The sequence below is a fragment of the Homo sapiens genome, chromosome 3 (genome assembly GCF_000001405.40).
Source record: "Homo sapiens chromosome 3, GRCh38.p14 Primary Assembly".
In the NCBI taxonomy this organism is placed as follows: domain Eukaryota; kingdom Metazoa; phylum Chordata; class Mammalia; order Primates; family Hominidae; genus Homo; species Homo sapiens.
Genome location: NC_000003.12, coordinates 171,210,713 through 171,230,747, shown reverse-complemented (window position 1 = coordinate 171,230,747; position 20,035 = coordinate 171,210,713). Strand labels below are relative to the sequence as shown.

Below are 20,035 nucleotides of genomic sequence, written 5' to 3'. Positions count from 1 at the left end.
GGTGACGAGGAATCGACAAGTGAGGTATCAGAGGACAGAGTACTGTAATTGAATCTGGAAAGAGAGAGTAAGTTGTCTGAGGAGTCAAGAAGGCAAAGGGCATCCCAGACCAAGAAAACATACCATCTGAGAGGCAAGAAACAATAAAGTACATTTACAGAAGCGCAAACAGTTTGTTCTCAAGGTCCACAGAGTAAGAGCAAGTGGGAGCCTACCAAGGTGGTATGGCAGAAAGGGGGTCAGCTCTTGGAGGGCCCTGCAAGCCGTGCCCAGTGGTTTGTCTGTATCCTGTTACAGGTACCATTAAAATAATTTCAAGGCAAATCAGCTATATAATATCAGACAGACCCTCTGTATTTGCCTACGTTTCCCCTACCCTCTTTCAGTGTTTTAGCAGATGAACAGCCATTATTTAAGACATGATTTATAGCCATTACTTTAAAGTCCACTGTTGGTTACAAAGCTGTTGATTCCTTTGCAAGGGTCATCATTACGGCATCACAGACTCAAAAGAGGACGCTGTTGCTACTTCTTCCTTGTGCAAGATTGACTCATGGTTTGCAGGAAAGGTAGCGTTGCTGCTCTGCAAGAAAGTTAGTGTTCCTGGTTCTGTAGCAGTGGCACTTCTCTCCCTATCAATCTTGTGGAAACTAAATTTCTAAATGCTGCTTGGGATGGAAAGAGTTGGTAGTGCTGATACCCACTCACTGCCCTCTCTACTAACCACTGAGCCCAGTCTCCCCACGTTTTGTAGATGGGGAAATGAGGGCCCAGACACAGCCGGTGGTCATGGGCAGAGCCTGGACAAGAACTGGGCCTCTGGGATTCTGGTCCAGGGCTCTTTACAAGGTAACACGCCATCCTCTCCCTCGATTTCAGGAAAGTGGAAATAAGTGTGAGGGGCTGTGTCTGTGACCATATTGGATTACTGACCTACTGTCCCCTTCTTTGTGCTCTTTCCCCAGTGAGGAGGAAAAAAAGGGCAGCAGAATGGGGGTCAAAAGCGGAAGGAAGCACCATCAGAATCAGAGTAAATAGATTTTTAAAGCTGAGATATGTGAGAAGAAAGAGGACAGGCAGAGTGGGCAGAAGTTAAAGGGCCAGAGGAGTGGGGAAAATTAGGTTAGTAAGGGAGAAAAGTAGTAGAAAAAGGGAAAGGATTTAAGAACACAAAGATATAGGTGGTCTCAATTACAAAATTGACCCACTAATGTTTTCTACCACAACTTTTAAAAAATTTGATCCAACTAAACTAGCACATTTTCACCAACTTCAACTACTGAATCTGAATCACACTAGGCCAATCACTTTTTCCACACCACAATTATACATGCCTCCTTATCTGTTGTTAATTCATAAACATGCCACAGCATCTATGGGGGAGGCCCTTACTATTCCAGGTACTGGAAATACATCGATGAGACATGGTCCTTGCCTTTATGAAACATACAGTTCAGTAGGGAAGACAACATTTAAAATTCACCAGAAGACAGGACCATACATAATTACGGCCAGCATCTGCTGACAGCTAATCTGCATATGTCACTGTCAAGTACTTTGTATACATGATCTCATATCGTTCTCACTACAATTCTATGCATTAGGTATTATTATTATTTCAGTTTTTGAGATGAGGAAACTGAGGCTTGGAAGGTTGAGGGGCTTGCCTAAGGTCATGCAGCTAGGTTTTGAACCCAGCTGATCTTAGAAGCTATATTTTATTGCCTGATAGCAGCAATAAGTAAAATGTATTTTGGAAGCTATATATAAAATTCATGTAAAAGTAGTGAGTATGACCATCTTTGCTGTTGTCTGAGAGTCACATGTAGACATTGTGTTTTCTCAAGGAGCAAACAAAGAGAAAATAATTCTCTTCTGAGAGTGCCCCCTTGGCGCTCCCTACTCGTTTCTGATTTTGCCACGTGGTTGCTGCTTCACTGTGGTTCTAAAGACCAAAAGAGCCCACCTTGGGGAAGCAGTTCCTAATGTTCAACACTGTCTCCTTGATCACAAATTTGGATTGATTGCTATCTGTTTTAGTTTAGGCTCCCTTTTAAGATAAAGATAAATGAACAATCTCAGGTGAATTATAGCAGAATCATATCCAGTTAAAACCATCACAGGATATTTTAAGAATGAAAGAAACCAAAGTTTCTTCATCTACCGAGTGTTTTCTAACAGAGAGATACTTGTGTATTCTTCCACGCAGGCCTAGCTCCCCTTCGACATAAATCCTCCTCTCATATAAGCTCTTGTCAAATGCCTTGGAGAGGAGTTAGAACCAAATTGTTCAACATTGCATTTTTTATTTGACTTGACACCCACTGTGAAAATAAACAAAGTGACTGGGGACGTTTTACAAAATAAACACTAAGTAGACATGGTGTTTCTGTGTGTGTCTGTCTTTCTCTCTCCCCCCATTGACATAGTACAGCACTGATCCAAGCAATTTTTCTTTATTGTTGGAATTGAATGCTACTATTCATCATCAGAACTAAATCTTTTGTTATTATTTTTTCTTCACAGGGTCGTCATGTCAAAACGGGCCAGCTTGCAGCCATCAAGGTTATGGATGTCACAGGGGTAAGTGTCTTTATTTTGCCATCTCAATAGCCATGCAGATGCTCCTTGACTTATGATGAGTTCACATCCTGATAGGCCCATCATAAGTAGAAAATATTGTTAAGTTGAAAATGCATTTAATACACATAACCTGTTGAACATCATAGCTTAGCCTAGCCTACCTTAAACATGCTCAGAACACTTACGTTAGCCTACAGTTGGGCAAAGTCATTTATCACAAAGCCTATTTTATAATAAAATGTTGACTATCTCATGTAATTTGTTGATTACTATAGCAAAAGTGAAAAACAGAATGGTTGTACAGGTACTTGCAGTATGATTTCTACCAAATGCATGTTGATTTCACACCACTGTTAGTCAAAAAAAATCGTAAGTTGAACCATTGTAAATGAGGGACCATCTCTATATTTGTAATAGAGAAGTTAATGATAGAAAAAAATTGTTTTCTAGAAAAATAATCTCCCTAAATATCTAATATCTTTCCCCACTTGTGGCTAACATAAGGAAGAGTATGCAGTAGCTGACTGAAGAGATCATGGGTACATCACTCTAATTAAATTTGATACCTACACACTGCCTTATGTAGTTAGAGTGAATACTGTTTGCCAATAATTTACATAAACACAACCACAGATATTTGCATATGAATGCAGAACAAGGATGTGAAGGTATTAAATGAATAATACTGAGATTATACAGAAGAAATGAGTCTTAACTGTTTTCCCAAAGGTCTGCCTACCACTGGAGTAGACAGGAGCTTGGATGGCTCTAAGATCCTAGTAGGATATTTAACATGAATATTTCCCAAAACAAAATATTACTGACCAAATAATCACAATAAACACAAATTCTTATCATTATAGAGCAACAATGAAACAAAATTTCTGCCTGGATAATCAAAAGCAATCTAAGAAATAGATTTTATTTTAAATACAATCTAATGTTTTCGATCCTTTTGCTAAGCCTACTTAAAATATTTTAATGCCTTTTCAAGAGTACACAGCAAAAATCTGACTCGAAAGGATTCACTGGACATCAAAGGCATGTTAATAATTTTCTGTTGTCCTGGGGATTTTTCTAAGATGTCTGTCTGCTGTACATGAAAGCTAAAAGACCAAAGTCTTCCATTCAGCCCAGAAGTTGATTATTCAATATAAATAGACATAGAATGAATGAGTCACACAAAAGAAAATAAGAAAAACAAATAAGAAAAAAATAAATAAATAAGAAAGACACACAGTATGTCTGTATGTCAAACTTCAACCCATACCTTTTGGGCTCACTTTGTTACCTTAGATAAGTATATGTTATGTGATAGTTACCTACCATAATACACGTTTCACTAATTATTGTTTACACCACACATTGTACTGACTTATTATTGATCTAAATTCCTCTTTAAGTTGTATATATTTTTGACCAGTAAAATATTTTGTTCCTGTATTTTTGTTACCATTTAGATAAAGTACTAATTCTTTTTATTTGTCTTAAATATATTATTTAAGTTTTAGGTATTACAAAAGTTCAAATTTTTAGTCCCAATTAGTTTATTAATTCACCTGGCCTTTACTGAATAATAAACTGTATGTGCCTTATATTAATTCAGTTTAAGAAAACGCTAAATAACAGAGGATTAAGCATAATAGAAGTGTCTTGCTCTCATGTTAAAGGAGTGTAAAGGTGGACAGCCTAGGGATGTATGTCAGTGATATGGTAGAGTGAAGGATGTTTTTATCTTTCTGCTCCATCATTCTAATGCATGGCCTCCACAGTTAAGGTTGCTTTATGGTTCAAAATATTTATTGGATTTCCACTGATCACACTTTATGGCAGGCAAAAAAGGGAGAGCAGGGGGAGCAGAAGGGTACAAATGAGCCCCTTCCAGTGAAATATTTTCTACTTCCATACAACATTACTACTTACTTCTGCTTTCATTGCCTGTATCTAGCTGCAAGGGAAGCTAGAAAATGTAGTCTTTTATTCTACTAATGTGTCTACTTAAAAATCCAGATTCTATCAGTCAGAAATGAAGGGAGAGTGGATACTGGAATGGTCGATTAGCAGGATCTGACACAAAAATTAAAATCAGATACTATCAGTCTCTACATAGAAACCCATTATAAACGTGTAAACATTTTACAAAGCTCCAACCACAGAACAAATCAGAATTTGTTTTGCAATTCAGCTGAAGTCATACTACTGTATTTTCCTTGGATTGAATAGGATCTCTGCATAATGAGATGAGCTTGGCAGTTTAACAATTAATGGTTGTGGAAGGAGTCCAAGACATTCATGCTGTATATTAAATTCTATTGTGTGGTTTTGAAGAACTACAGTTGAGAGTTCCACTGATGTCATTAATCTTGGGGCATAAAATGTGTGTTGATGTTCAAAGTATGACTCTGAACAATTTAAAGCCTCACAAGTAGAACCAGAAACTACTCAAGAACCACTATTGCTAGACCACCTTGCTTGGAATTAAAAGTTACACAGTTATTTTTCCCAGAACATGTATTTTCAGCTTAAGGAATGTCAGTTAGTCTTTCTAAACTGGGTTTCATTAAGCATCTAAGCTCTACAGAAGATGATTTGAGAGACTGCCTTCTCAGTTCTTCCAAGGAGGGTACAGAGGTAAGGCCATTTTACATGCAAAGGAGTGTCAATCCATTACATAGAGTGGATGCTTTATAGTATTTAGGCTTAATTCTCTTGGGGAACTCCTATTGAGGAGGGCTAGATAGTTTTTCTGTGATTCAGTCATGTCATTGATGATTATTTAACCACTGACTTTTAACGAAGGCAAACATGGATGCACATCAGGAAATGGTTTTCTTATTTTTGTGGTGTCTGATGTGGCATCAAGAGACTTTTGTATCACCCCCTTACACATCACAGTCAACATAAGATTTCCTTTGTGAAACTCACGTGGTGCCTTTAGAAGACAGTCTATTCTATTTTGCCATGTTGTCTATTGTGTATTACAGAATGCTGTAAAAGCTTCTTACCAATTATTATAATTGTACTCATTATGGTTGCTCTGTTAAAAAACTGAAATGAATTCTCAAAGGTCGTCTTTGTTAATTACATGCTATGACCTACTACAAAGTTACTATAGTTTATTGTTATAAAACTGATAAAGCCATAAGCTTGACATCAATTTTTAAATTATTGTTTTTATTCTATATCACTTCCTTTTTGGTATAAAACAGCCATTGAGAGAACTGGATATAATGCTTATATCCTTCCATTTTTAGAGCTGAAACACTTCCAAATTTGCCAACATTTGCTTCAGAATTTGTGCTTAAACTCAGAGTAGGCCTTGAAGATCTTATAGTTTGAAATCATTATGGAAATTTCCCCATTTTGTCACAGTCTGGGATTTACCTCTCAGCTGGATTTTTGCGCTCTAGATTGACCTACGGCATCTAGGAGGAGCTGGACCCTCCCAGGTAGTGTTTCTTAAAGTGGACCATCAGCATCAGTGGGCAGTCAGCACCTCTGAAGTACTCATGAGAAATGCAAATTCCTGGGCCTGCTGCAGGATTTCTGGGGTAGCCTCAAAATCTGCCTTTTCTGTAAACTCCTCAGAGTGTCACACACATCAAAATGAGAGTACCACTTTTCTAGGGTCTTGTATTTACTTCTTTCTGGCCACCAAGTGTGAAGGAGCTATGGTTTTTTGTGGGGTTTTTTTTTTGATAACCCTGTAAATAATCCCCATTTTCATTTGGATAAAAATTCCTAGTGTAAAGTAGTCCCTTTACAGTGACACCCTGAAGTGCATATAGGACTTAATGAAATACTAATATTGTAAGCTTTTGCCTTTACAATGACTGGTTGTGATTACACTACTCAGGACATTTGGGGTTGTAGTACCAAACCGCCACTCAAACTGAATGAAGCTGAAAAGGGAATTTACTAGCTTGTATGAATTAAAACAACAAAAACCTCAGCAGGATGCAGAGAAGTCACCTAACATGATCAGGATTTTGTCTCTCTCCATCTGTGGGCTCTGCTTTCGTCCCAGCAGCAGCTGCAGGCTCATGTTTTCACTACCTCATTGCCATTGGTCCCAGCAAAGGTGCCAGTCTGAATATCAGTGGTCCAGCTTGGACCATGTCCCCATCCCTGGGCCAATTCCTTACTCTCCAGTCCACGCCTGGGCTGGATGCCTGGCTCTGGAACCTACCGCAGGGACTGAGAGTTGGAGAGAGTTGATTTCTCAAAGAAAAACCTGAGAGTTATTATAGAAAAGAGTGGGAAAGATGCTGGGTGGGCAAAAACAGGAGAATTCTATGACTATAATATCATATATTATAGTGAGTGTGTTCAAAACTGATTTGGTCCTTAAGTAAAGTGTTTCTCTAATTACATTTTTTATATTCCTATCAAAAAGAATAATAATGGTAGCTAACACTAAGTGAGTGATTACTACGTGCCAGAACTCTTTAAAATACTTTCTATATATTAATTCATTTGATCCTTTCAGCAGCTAACCAAGCAGGTTCCATGATTAGCCCCATTTTAGGATGTGAAAGCCAGGCATTTTAAGTATCTTGCTCAATGTAACATGGCTGCCAAAGGAAGGAGTGAATATTTCAGCCTGAGCAATGTAACCCCATCCTTTAAGTCTATCCTCTTAACCACATTGTTTTCAGTCTTCAATTCATGTAGTGTTTAATTTCATGTGATTCTTTTTTCATTGATTTATTCAACAAACATTTACTAAAATCTACTTTATGATAGGCACTGGAAATTTAAAGATGAAAAAAATGGTCTTTTGCCTGCTCACAGTAACACAACCTTGCCCTAAATATTTATAAATAAAGCTTATACACTTTATAACAAGGCTGTAGAATGTGTAAATAACGTTACTTGTAAAGTTTGTCGGAACTGTGAGGAGACAGTCCTCACTGAGGAAGCCCAGGAGGACAGTCAGGTGAGGACATTCCAGCCAAGAATACAGCCGGTGCCAAGGCATGAGGCTGAGAGGGCATGTTCTGGAAACTGCACATAGCTTAGTTTCGAGGTTAAAAGTGCCAAGAAGGCGTTGATACAAGATGAATCTAGACACATTAGGAGGGGCCAGGTCATGAAGGAATTTAATACTGTGACAAGGAGTTTACAAGGTTTTTAATTTTTAGTTTTCTCAGTAGAACACTTTGATCAAATAGACTTAGAGAAAAACCCAATACATAAAAGAAATGTAAGCAGGTTTTCTTTTCTTTTCTTTTCTTTTTTTAAACCAAGGGTGGGAGACCGTAAGTCCTGGCTCCTTTCCTCAAACTACTACTAGAGCCAATGCAAGAGCCAGAAGTTGAACAGGAGAGTAACACCGTAGGATTGCCTACTAGGAGGATCCATGCTAAGCTCTGCTTCACTGAATTCCTATTTCTGTCTTACTGAATTTCTGTAGGTGAAGCTTATGACCAGCCTCCATCTCTTTCTGAAGAGTAAGGAAGTGGTCTTCTCCCAGTAGTAGACTGTTTTGCCCATTATTAAAGGGCTCAGTGAATGCTTGCTGAAATTGCACAAAAAGAAAAGAAAAATCTTTTCATCTTGGGTTGTTTGGAAGAGTAAGGTGGACACATTGTTCCAAGTACATTTGGTTCTTTCATCCCAAAGGGAGGCAGTTCAGTGGCATAATTAATAGTATGCACATAATATTGTTAATAATAATAATGACGATAGGCACAGGCCAAAAAGGGGCTAATACTGATTGTTTATCATGTCCCAAGCATTGTACTTAGTACTTAAATGAGTACTTAGTACTCATTTAATCCTTAAAACAACGTCCATTAGGAGAATACTGCTGGTATATCTATTTTACAAAGGAATTGACAGCAGAGAGCCCAAGAAACTTGCCCAAGCCTCATGGATAGTAAATGGCAGGGTTGGAATTCAAATCGAGCCAGTCAGGGCATACCCACACTCTCCACAGACATCTTATTATAGGATGAGAAATGAGAGAGTATTGCCAGAGCATGGCCTTCAGATTCAGAGAGAGCTGGGCTTATATTCCACTCATCTCCTTACTGATTGTGACCTTGGGCAAATTTTAACTTTTCTGAGCCACAGTTTTCTTATTGGTTAATGTTGCAAGCTTGTTTTGGGACTTAAATGGGATATATCTTGTACCTGACACATAATAGGTCCTCAATACATGATTTTAATGGTTAGTGCCAGTAAGGTACATTGAATCACTGAATAAGACAGACAATAGGAATGAAAAGATTTTAGTGTGCATTAAAATCCTGTAGTTGTATATTTTGATGACAGCCTGATCTGTGAACTACGTGCCAATTTGTGTTAGTTAATTGCTGATATGGGTAAATAGTTTGCACTCACCCTATCTTTACCACCTCAATTACAGAGTTGTTAGCCTTACCCTGAATAGTATGTAGCTGAAAAAAAATGGCTTACTAGAGCAGGATCCAGGAAAGAAAGTGAAGCTAGATTCCAGAGGCTGAAGGCTGAAATCACAAGATTTCATTCATTCATTTACTTGAGAATGAATGAGTGCACTGTGCTACGGAGTCATCCAGTGAACAAGACAGACATGGGCACTATCTTCTGGAATCTTATATTTTAGTACAAGACATTTAGCAGTTAAACAATAGCAGTCACAATTCTGATTAACTTCCAAGCAGTGTACAGAGTATGAAGAGAGAATTTAAGAAGAAACTGACCTAGCTGGGTGGCCAATAAATGATTTCTGAGAAAGTGACAGCTATGTGAGATCTACAGGACGAGTAGACCTTCGTTAGCCAAGTGAAGGGGTAGGGGAGGTGCACCTCCAGATTTGGGAGCTTGACCTTCAGGTGATGTCAGCAAAGCTTGGGGATTCCCATCTGAAGCTCCTTTGCCACAGAGGCCCTCTGGACAGCTCTTTGGGACTTTTACTTTGGAGCCATTTATGTAGATGTCTTTAGCAGACAGAACAGTCTGATCAAGCACATGGTCAAAACTTTCAACAGAGAAAAGATAAACAAATGGCTTTTTTTGTCTTCCTAATACCCTCCACCTTTGGGGCTATTTTCAGTGCTTCAATTCTGTATGCTATACAGCATGTAGAACTTGGAAAGCTTCTAGGGTTCTAAAAATGAACAACTGAGCTGCCCACTCCATGCACACTTTAGCATCTGTCCTCTTCTTGCATACAGATTAGACCCTTTTGGTGGCTTATGTGTGTCTGGGTCTCTGCGCATGTTCATGCATGCTGTGTGTATGGCCTGGATGTTGGGCTTGTTGTATGTGTATGCTCACATGTTAGATACATTGCTTAAGTGCAAAAAATAGGCCTGGGGGCTACTGTCTATACCTCCAAACTAATAAAGGTGAGCAATAGTTTTTAAAAATATTTTTTACATCATAATAGTTTATATTCACTGGTCCTTTTATTTGTGTACCTCAAAGCACTTGATCAAAATTATAATTAATTCCCTTAGCCCCCTAGTGGGGTGGAGATGCCTGTAGATGACAAAATTGGCATACAGAAACTGGGGTGCTTGGAATCACTGACGGGGCTGTTCAAAGCATGATTTCCAATCAAGTTCCTCAGTAGTGGAACACAAGGTCTCCTTCTGCAGGTCCGTCCTTTCCTTTATGCTGCCAACACTTCCCACCTCATATTCATTCCCCTCTTTTGACTTCACTAGGTCTTCTCTTGTTGAGCTCTGTTGCTCTTCTTTGATTTGACTTCCTCATCAGTATTTTGAATTTCTATTTAATGACTTGGGAAGTTCAGCTTTTATTTTTATTCATTTATTTTTCATTATACTTTAAGTTCTGGGGTACATGTGCAGAACATGCAGGTTTGCTACATAGGTATACACGTGCCATGGTGGTTTGCTGCACCCATCAACCTGTCATCTACATTAGGTGTTTCTCCTAATGCTCTCCCTCCCCTTGCCCGCCACCCCACGACAGGCCCCATTGTGTGATATTCTCCTCCCTGTGTCCTTGCGTTCTCATTGTTCAACTCCCGCTTATGAGTGAGATCATGCAGTGTTTGGTTTTCTGTTCTTGTGTTAGTTTGCTGAGAATGATGGTTTCCAGCTTCACCCATGTCCCTGCAAAGGACATGAACTCATCCTTTCTTATGGCTGTGTAGCATTCCATGGTGTATATGTGCCACATTTTCTTTATCCAGTCTATCATTGATGGGCATTTGGGTTGGCTCCAAGTCTTTGCTATTATGAACAGTGCCACAATAAACATACATGTGCATGTGTCTTTACAGTAGAATGATTTATAATCCTTTGGGTATATACCCAGTAATGGGATTGCTGGGTCAAATGGTATTTCTAGTTCTAGATCCTTGAGGAATTGCCACACTGTCTTCCACAACGGTCAAACTAATTTACACTCCCACCAACAGTGTAAAAGCTTTCTTGTTTCTCCACATCCTCTCCAGCATCTATTGTTTCCTGACTTTTTAATGATCGTCATGCTAACTGGCATGAGATGGTATCTCATTGTGGTTTTGATTTGCATTTCTCTAATGACCAGTGATGATGAGCATTTATTCATATGTCTGTTGGTTGCATAAATGTCTTCTTTTGAGAAGTGTCTGTTCATATCCTTCACCCACTTTTATTTTTCCTTCATTAAAAGTTCTTTCTCATTTGAAGCCTACTGACTTTAATAAGCTTTCAAGGCCAGGGACAGGAACTGTGCATTATCCATCTTTGCACCCCATGCAGAGCTTGCTAAGGTTGAACCTGGCACTGGCACTGGCACCTAGTAGGTGCTGCATTATGTGTTATATATGTGTATTATATGTATATCATTATATATATATACACATCATTATATATAAAATGATATATATCATTATATATATACACATCATTATATATATAAAATGATATATATCATTATATATAATATATATTATAATTATTACTAAATTATATATTACATATAATTATAATAATATATATAATTTAGTAATGGGTTTGCTGGGTTGAGTAAATGATTATTGAATGATTATATGAATATGTATTATATATTTTATAATATATATTTATAATTATATATTTATATAAAATATATATTTATAATTATATATTTATATAAAATATATATTTATATATTTAATATATTATATTAAATATAATTTAATATAATTAATACACTAATATAGTAATATTTTATATATTAATATGTAATAATTTAATATAAATATAAATATAAATATTTAATATTTATTATATATTAAATATATATAAAACATATAAAAATATATATTTAATATAAATATGTAAATATATAATATATAAAAATAAAATATATTTATATTAAATATATGTAATATATATCAAATATATATTTATAATATATAAAAATATGTATTTAATATATAATATGTAAATGATATGCATATAATACATGTATATAATATATAATGCATATATAGTGTATACAATGTAAAAATCTATGTAGAGTATAAATGCATATTTATGTAAAAATAAATATAAAAACAATATTAAGATTAGAAAGCCAGTTGAAGGAAAAGCAAATTGAAATTACAGGGCCACAGAGAACTTGCTAGTTATTTTTCCCAATAACCAAAGCCAAAAGGGGGGAACATTATAAAGTACACTGTTTATACTATCAGAAAAAAAAAAAAAAACTCATTCCAATTCCTGTGGGCTGTTACCTGAATTGTAAATCTAGGATCCTTGAAGATATAAGCCACGCCATTTATGGTAGACTTTAGCCACATGAGTGACATTATTGCTAGGTTTAAAACTTGTTTACTTCTGGGTTACTTGAGTTTGGGTCTTGTTAATTCGTGGTTTTCTTGGGAGTCATGCCTCAGTGCAGGCTTGGGTATGAGAAAGACATATGTCAACCTTTTGTTATCTACCCCTTTAGGGAACTCCACTTCATTGTAAGAGAAAGCAGGTTAGCCTACTGGCAAAGAAGAGCCCTGCACAGTGTCAGTCTCGTGGAATATCCTAGTTCTGACACTTCATGGCTCTCTGACCCTGGACATATTGCTTAATGTTCTTTATTCTACATCTATAAATGTGGATAATGCCACTTCTCTCACAAAGTTAGTGTGAGATGTAAATATATTAATCATTATTTATAAAGGGTTTCAGAACAATATGTAGAACACGGTATTCTGTGCCTATTGTTGTTATTATTACCAGGTCTTTTGCAGACAATTTTTATTTTTCTCTTTATGGCACCAAAAGCCTCCAAAGTAGACCACATGCTACATCCTCTCCAGCCACACGACCTTGGCAAACACTTTCTCTGCCAGGAAAATGTTTCTATCCCAATCACACTACATCACATTTTCTCTTTTTTTCTTCCCAATTGGGTAACTTTCACCTAGCCTTAAAAACTCAGCTTAAACTTAGGTTTCTTGAGGTTAATTAGATCAGCTACCACATACTTCTCATGGTCGTAATTTTGCATATATCTCATTCTTTGATTCATATCTGTGTCTTCCACTAAACTGTAGTAAGCTTCATTGTAGCAGAACTTGAATCTGTTATGCCTATTGTAGTATGATTATATTATTGACATTTACAATTATGACTGGAATATAGTAGGCACTTAGTAAATAATTCTTTTTTCTTCTTTACTTTTTTTTTGCAACTGTTATTTTAGACTCAGGAGGTACATGTGCAGGTTTGATGCTTGGGTATGTTGTGTGATGTTGAGGTTTGTGACAAATGATTCTGTCACCCAGGTACTGACCATAGTACCTAACAGTCAGTTTTAACTCTTGTCCACTTCTCTCCCCAGTCTAGTAGTCCCAGTGTCTATTGTTCTCATCTTTATGTCCATCTGTACCCAATGCTTAGCACCCATTCATAAGTGAGAACATGCAGGATTTTGTTTCCTGTTTTTGCATTAATTTCTTTAGGATAATAGCCTCTAGCTCAACCATGTTACTGAAAAGGACATGATTCCATTCATTTTTATGGCTGCATAGTATTGCATGGTGTATGCATACCATATTTTCTTTACCCAGTCCACCATTGATGGGTACCAAGGTTGATTCCATGTCTTTGCTATTGTGAATAGTGCTGCGGTGAACATGTGAGTGCAAGTATTTTTTTGGCAGAATGATTTGTTTGCTTTTGGATATATACCTAGTAATGGGTTTGCTGGGTTGAGTAAATCATTCTTGAATGAATTAATTTAACTTAGAGTTAACATATACAGCAAATCCAGGTGCTGCCTGCAGAATGTCCTGGCAAAGTCCTATCAATGCTAAAATGAAGAGGTAGGGACTTAGACAACTCGTTGGATGACTCTGGGTCTGTTTCCTTAAAACTATTTGATGTAATAGATTTATTACATCTAATTATTTATTACAATCTATTGTAATTATTTATTACAATCTAATTTATTACAGTCTGTTAGATGTAATCGATTTAAGGAAACAGACCCAAAGCTGCATAACTTGACCCTGAGATAATTTTAGGTGATTTACATGTTTAATTCTCATTTAATTTTAAATATATTTTAACATATAATAAACTGTGATTTAAAAAGCAGACCTCAAACTGTATGTTATACACCAACTTTGAACACACTGGAAAACGCCAGCCTGTTAATTTGTGCTGCTAGGTTACCCTATTCATGTGCAGAATGGCATTGATTGTGAAGATCCTACTAAAATTTCAAGGCATGCTCTTAACTATTTCAACTATTTATCTTAGGAAATGCAGATTTTTCTCCATCCTATAGAACTGAAAGAAAAATGAAAATTAATAAGATATTAGAGTTGATGTATAACTTTAAATTTCTTTCTAATTTTGTATTCACTAGAACAACTTCTTGTCATTGACTAATTGTATAAGTAGATATTGCTTTAAACAAATAAATGTTTACTGATTTTAAAAATTTAGTTTTTGTCAGCTATATATTTGCATCCTGAAAAAAACTTCTATTGCAGGGAGGGATTTCACTATTACAAATTATTTCAGAAGCTTTTTAAAAACCACATTCTATATCATAGTGACGATCCCTTCAAATTCTCGTAGCCTGTGATCCTTTAATGATAAAGTGTCTCCTACTTTTTGCCACATTCAGTCAATGCTGAAGGTGAGAATGACAGATAACACAAACACCTGCTTAATGGCAACAGCTGCTGTGAAAGCAGTGCAGATGAGCGGGAGCAGAGATGGTTCTAGCCAGTGTCCACACATCTATGGGATAGTGGCATTTATGAATCTATACACCTTATACTTCTCTCTAGACTTCTTCCTGACTAGTCTCTTAGACTTGCTGTAGGAATTGCATAGTTTCATTCCTCTGCCACGGATTGAGAGTTAAATGTTGGGCAGACTTTATTACAGAGCATATAACTAATATTAAATGTTTTATTCCATTTTTAAATGCTAGCATATCATAGGCACTTAAAGTGTGTTCCCCTGTGTAATAAATATGCAACTTAAAATCCCTTCTTTATTCCTTGAAATCAATCATAAGCAAATATTATTGTATGCTAACAAGCTCCTTTAATTGGAAGACCAAAGTCAGGGTTCTCTTCTGCCCTGGCTTAAGATGCTCTTAAACGCTTCCGATTAACGACTTTGGTTTTGGACACCATGGATAATTGCCCTTCATCTGACTAGTAGTTTTCTGTAAAGAATTAAGAATACTGGCTTTGGAGTCAGAGAAATCTGGTCTTGAATCTGAGGTTTAACATTTAAAGTATGAGTGAACTTGGGAAAGTTACTTAACTTCTCTGAGACTCATTTTACTCGTTTGTAAAATAGGATCCAGCTTCATAGCTGTTCTGAGTGCTCAATAAGATAGTTCATACATACCTCCTGGTACACAGTAAACATTACATGAGGTTTTGGCTTTGGCTATGTTTTATGACCACATGATGACAATCATGTTGCCATCAGAGGTGGTCAGTGGCTTAAAAGCATTAACTGGAATTATCTATTTCCTTGCATTTGAAAACTGCCTATCTTCCCATGATTTCTCATCTTCTAGAAGGTCAATCCCGGTTTCTCACATGGGGGTTGAAGGGTTGGTTCTCTGGCAAGCAGTAGGAGAGGGCCAGTCTCAAGGCATAAGTGCTTTTCGGGCCTCTGCTTCTTCATCCGATTTGCTAATGTCCCCTTGACCAAAGCAAGACATGTGGCTAAGCCCAGGTTCAAGGAGAAGAGAAATGGACTCCACCTCTTGATGCAGGTGGGACACATATCATGGCCATTTTCTTTTTCAGTCTACCACAAACACTAAGCAATAAGTAGATCCTGTGATCTTGAGAAATAATATTATCTTCTTTATATTAATACTAAAGCTACATTTAAATAAGCACTTAATCATTTCTAAGCCCTGAGAAGTAGCTTATATAGGTATTCTTATTCCTATTTATAGCTGAAAATGACTGACATTTGGAGAGTTTAAATGCCATGGCTGAGGTTAACATAATGAATATGACTGGATTTGGAAGTCATCTGATTTAAGTAATCCTTCTTCCTAGAGTACCGGACTTGGCTTATTGAAGTTACTCTTTTAAATGTGTGATAATTTGGTACCACTACTTTATTTTTCATTATTGCCCAGTGGTCATTAGTTTATCAGAGGGCTTGATCCTTGTGCTTAATACTTAAGATTTGGAAATAGTACATTTACAAAATAATTTACAAATAGAGGCTATTCAAATTCTCGTAGCCTGTGATCCTTTATGATAAATTGTCTCCTACTTTTTGCCACATTCAGTGGCAATTCTGCCACTGTGGGTGGCAATTCTGATAGGTGCTACAAAGGAAAAGATACATGATGATTCATGGGGCTATAACTTTTTCACTTATAACTTTTTAGTTTAATTCTAGCCTCCCTTGCTCTCTTTGCATTTTTGGAAAGCATTGTAACTCATCTCCCTTGATGGGCCATATTGTGAGAGGCTGAACTCTTTGTGACATGGTTAAATGAGTTCTTGTCTCATCTAGTAACGGTCTTCCTTCCTATTTCACTGAATAACTTACTGCCATCTGTGCCCTAGACTAAAAATCTGGATAAACAGTAGGCCCAAAGGCCTGCTAAATTGCATGCTGACTTAAAAAGTTGCGTAAGATCAAGGATTTATATTTTAGAACTACCTAACCATGTCTTACAGTGGTTCCATAACTGTGTTTGGAAACAGTGCAATTTAAACCTAAAATTCAAGTGATTTACATTTTGGCCTTCCTGCCCTTTTATTTATTTATTTTTTGGTTATGTAGATTAGTAATAACATTTACTTTGTAGTACACTTTATAACATACATCCGTTATCTAAGTACCACAAAATGCTGGGACTTATAATATCTTTATCTCATTATAAATGAGAAAACTTAGGGTCCAAAAAGATAGGCAACTTTCTTGGGATTCTGCAGCCAGAAAGGAATGGTACCCAAACTCAACATGCACCCCATCTGCCCACCCTCTTCTTTCTGATCCCAGACTCAATGCATATGCTGTCCTTATTGTCATATTGCCTCAGTTTACCTTTGCAAAATGATGGAGAATGTACTGACTTTATTCTGACCTCCAGTACTATTTATTTTGGATTTAATTACATAGTGCCTTCTGTTGTTATTTAACTGTTTTATAAGCTCTTATTTTCTTAATGACATGGTGAGCTTTTTATAGGCAGTCCCCCCCTCCCCTGTCTTTCCCACATCACCCACTATCCTGCTAAGAATCCAGGAGGCAAGCGGTAAATACTTGTAGAAGCAGCCTGATTTCTCACTAAGAATGACTGATGCTAAGATTGACAGGCTGCAGTTGGAAAGTGATCCGTGTCTTTTATTACCTCACGTAGTTGCCTTTTTAATGGAAGCAGCTGTCGATGCTGTGCTGCCCACAGAAACCCTCAGGTCGTTTTTCTCCCTTTCTATTTAGGCTTCCCCAAAGTACATCCGCTCACATCCTACATTCGTCCACAATTATTTGGCCCCATACAGCAAGTTTAAAAATAGCCAATGTGCACCATAGTAAGACATTGGAGGTGCGCTGTAGGGACCCTTCAACAAGTTGAGGGCTGGCGAAGGTCATTCTCTTCACGACCTGCAGTGAAGGCGTGGGGAGTTTCTGATGGCTGCTAAGAAGAATAGGTGGTCAGCAGTGTGCCTTCCCCTGTCTCGCCCCTTGACTCCCTTCCCCACTGTTTCGGCCACATGCTTCTCCTTAGCTCAGCATCCCAAGCATATATTCTATTTTGAGATTACCTAGTCTTCAGCTTAGTTAAGCCATGTGATATGTAACATGCTTTTACTTCTCCTAGGTTTGCAAATCCCCTTTGTTTTTTCCTAAAGCTTATTTTAGTAAATAAGCATGGTCAGCAAATGTCAGCACTTCACTATTCTCCTCACTCTATTCTTACCTGTTCCTTCTAACATCACTAATGCTGCTCTGGGCATTGGGCTCTTTGTAGTTATTTGTTCTTTTAGTTGCATTTATTCACAGGCACTGCTTGGTGCTAGGGATGTTGTAGAGAACAAAACAGGGAGGATTCCTGAGTTTACGGTTCTTACCGACTGATAAGGAGAGGAGACCTTAATCAAATGATAAATGTGGGTGGCAATTCTGATAGGTGCTACAAAGGAAAAGATACATGATGATTCACGGGGCTAGAACCAAACTGGGCAGATCAGGGAGCTTTGCTGGGGAAGGAACTGTAGAACTGAGATCTGAAGATCTGGAGAGGAGAGCTTACAATATAGGGAGAAGAGAGTCGAGTAATGGGACATACCTCCATACCAATGTCAACAAATACAGCAGGTATGTGAAGGAGTGTAGGGGCTATGACCAGATGCAGTGGGGGGACTTGACATTGCCTGAGAGAATTAAGGAAGAGATCCCTGGTGAATGTCGATTAAACTCAATCAGGAATGGTGAGTAGAGCTTATGTGAAGAAGAGGTGGGGGAAAGAAGACAGCACACGAGAGACTGCAGGAAGTCCCAGTAATGCAGAGACACTGGAAGGAGGCAGTGCAGCCGGAGTGGAGGAGGGTACAGACAGGGGACACCATGGGTAGTTTTTCAGGTCATGATAATGTCACATCTTGCACTCAGGGACAGTCATAGCTTACTGCTGCACCTAAAAAATTATCCTGAGGTAGAAACTTTCTCCCCCAACCTCAACAATAAAACACTCTTCTGCAGTCCAACCAATGTGTATACACATCAAGAAAATAAAATTATGGGAGGTCACCATCTCCACCAGCACTGCCAGGACCTCTGAAAAGGGTCCAGGTTGGTGGACTCCAAATCAAAATTCATAGTGAATGAAACCTGAATATTAAGAAACTAACTCTGTAAGAGAGTTGTCTCTTTTTACATCCTCAGTACCACCACATTTCCCCCTTTCTTTCTAAGGTGAGTTTCCTGAAGGTGAGGTGGGTACTCCTGCTTTGTGAACTTCCTTAGATCTAGAGAACTTACCTTTGCTCCTTTTCCCATCTGACTTTCATCATCTTCAGTCAGGTACTTCAATGAAAGGAGCCTTCAAAGAAAATGAACCTAACAAAATTTAAATCTGAGCGCCCACGGTTTTAATATCTTTCATTTTCCTCAATCTTTCTTATACCAGATAGAATCAGTAATAGCTACTTGATGGATGTAGTTCCCAGAGGCCTACAGTGAATTTTCTCTCGATAGTCTTTCTACCTTGATCTCTTCTAGGTGAAGAGATGAGGGATTGTTTTGGATGTTTTTGTTTTGTTTTCCAAGAGATTGTGCTATGCCAGTTTGCTGTACAAAAAGAAGAGTCTCTTGGACAGCCAATGTATTATGTTTTAGAATTGTTCTTTGCCCTCATATGTAATAATTATGCTCATTTGTCAACAAGGAAGAAAAAACAAGAAAAAATTTAGATGGTGTTGAAGAACAGAATCCTACTAACAACCATAGATTTTCATGACAGAATTTTTATATTGTTCTCATACAGGATGAAGAGGAAGAAATCAAACAAGAAATTAACATGTTGAAGAAATATTCTCATCACCGGAATATTGCTACATACTATGGTGCTTTTATCAAAAAGAACCCACCAGGCATGGATGACCAACTTTGGGTATGTACTGCCGTCCAAATTTGCTTTATTTACATAAAAAACAAACACGGCCAAATGGTTCATTTTTCTATCCTCATGACAAAATTTGATTAACTCCTTCTTTAACCATTAGCCCCCATGATGTCCGTAACATATTGTTTTCAGGGTTTTCTCCCATTTCCTTGAATATCTGTCTTTTCAGGATCTCTAAATGTTCCTTCTATCCCTTAATATGGACCATCCCCAAAGCCAATTGTTAAGTTCTCTGTTTTTTTTTTTTTTTTTCACTAATTGACAACCTTTTATTGTGTTTTATTTTAGGTGCCTTGGTATTTACATTTTATGAATTGTATCATTTATTTTGCTTCTTTGAGTTAGGTATTATTCTTTCCCTAATTTCTTGAATGATGCAACTAAGGTTTAC

General features: G+C 37.3%; 1 protein-coding gene across 8 annotated transcripts in view; it reads left to right on the top strand.

Moving 5' to 3' along the window:
• TNIK (TRAF2 and NCK interacting kinase) overlaps positions 1–20,035 on the top strand; it is a 401,995-nt gene that overhangs the window by 229,661 nt on the left and 152,299 nt on the right. For all 8 annotated transcript variants that reach the window (NM_001161566.3, NM_001161565.3, NM_001161562.3 and 5 more), the window contains exons 3-4: positions 2,527–2,583; positions 19,507–19,632. In NM_001161566.3, the coding sequence (NP_001155038.1) occupies positions 2,527–2,583; positions 19,507–19,632 (183 nt within the window). The remainder of the gene's footprint in view (positions 1–2,526; positions 2,584–19,506; positions 19,633–20,035) is intronic.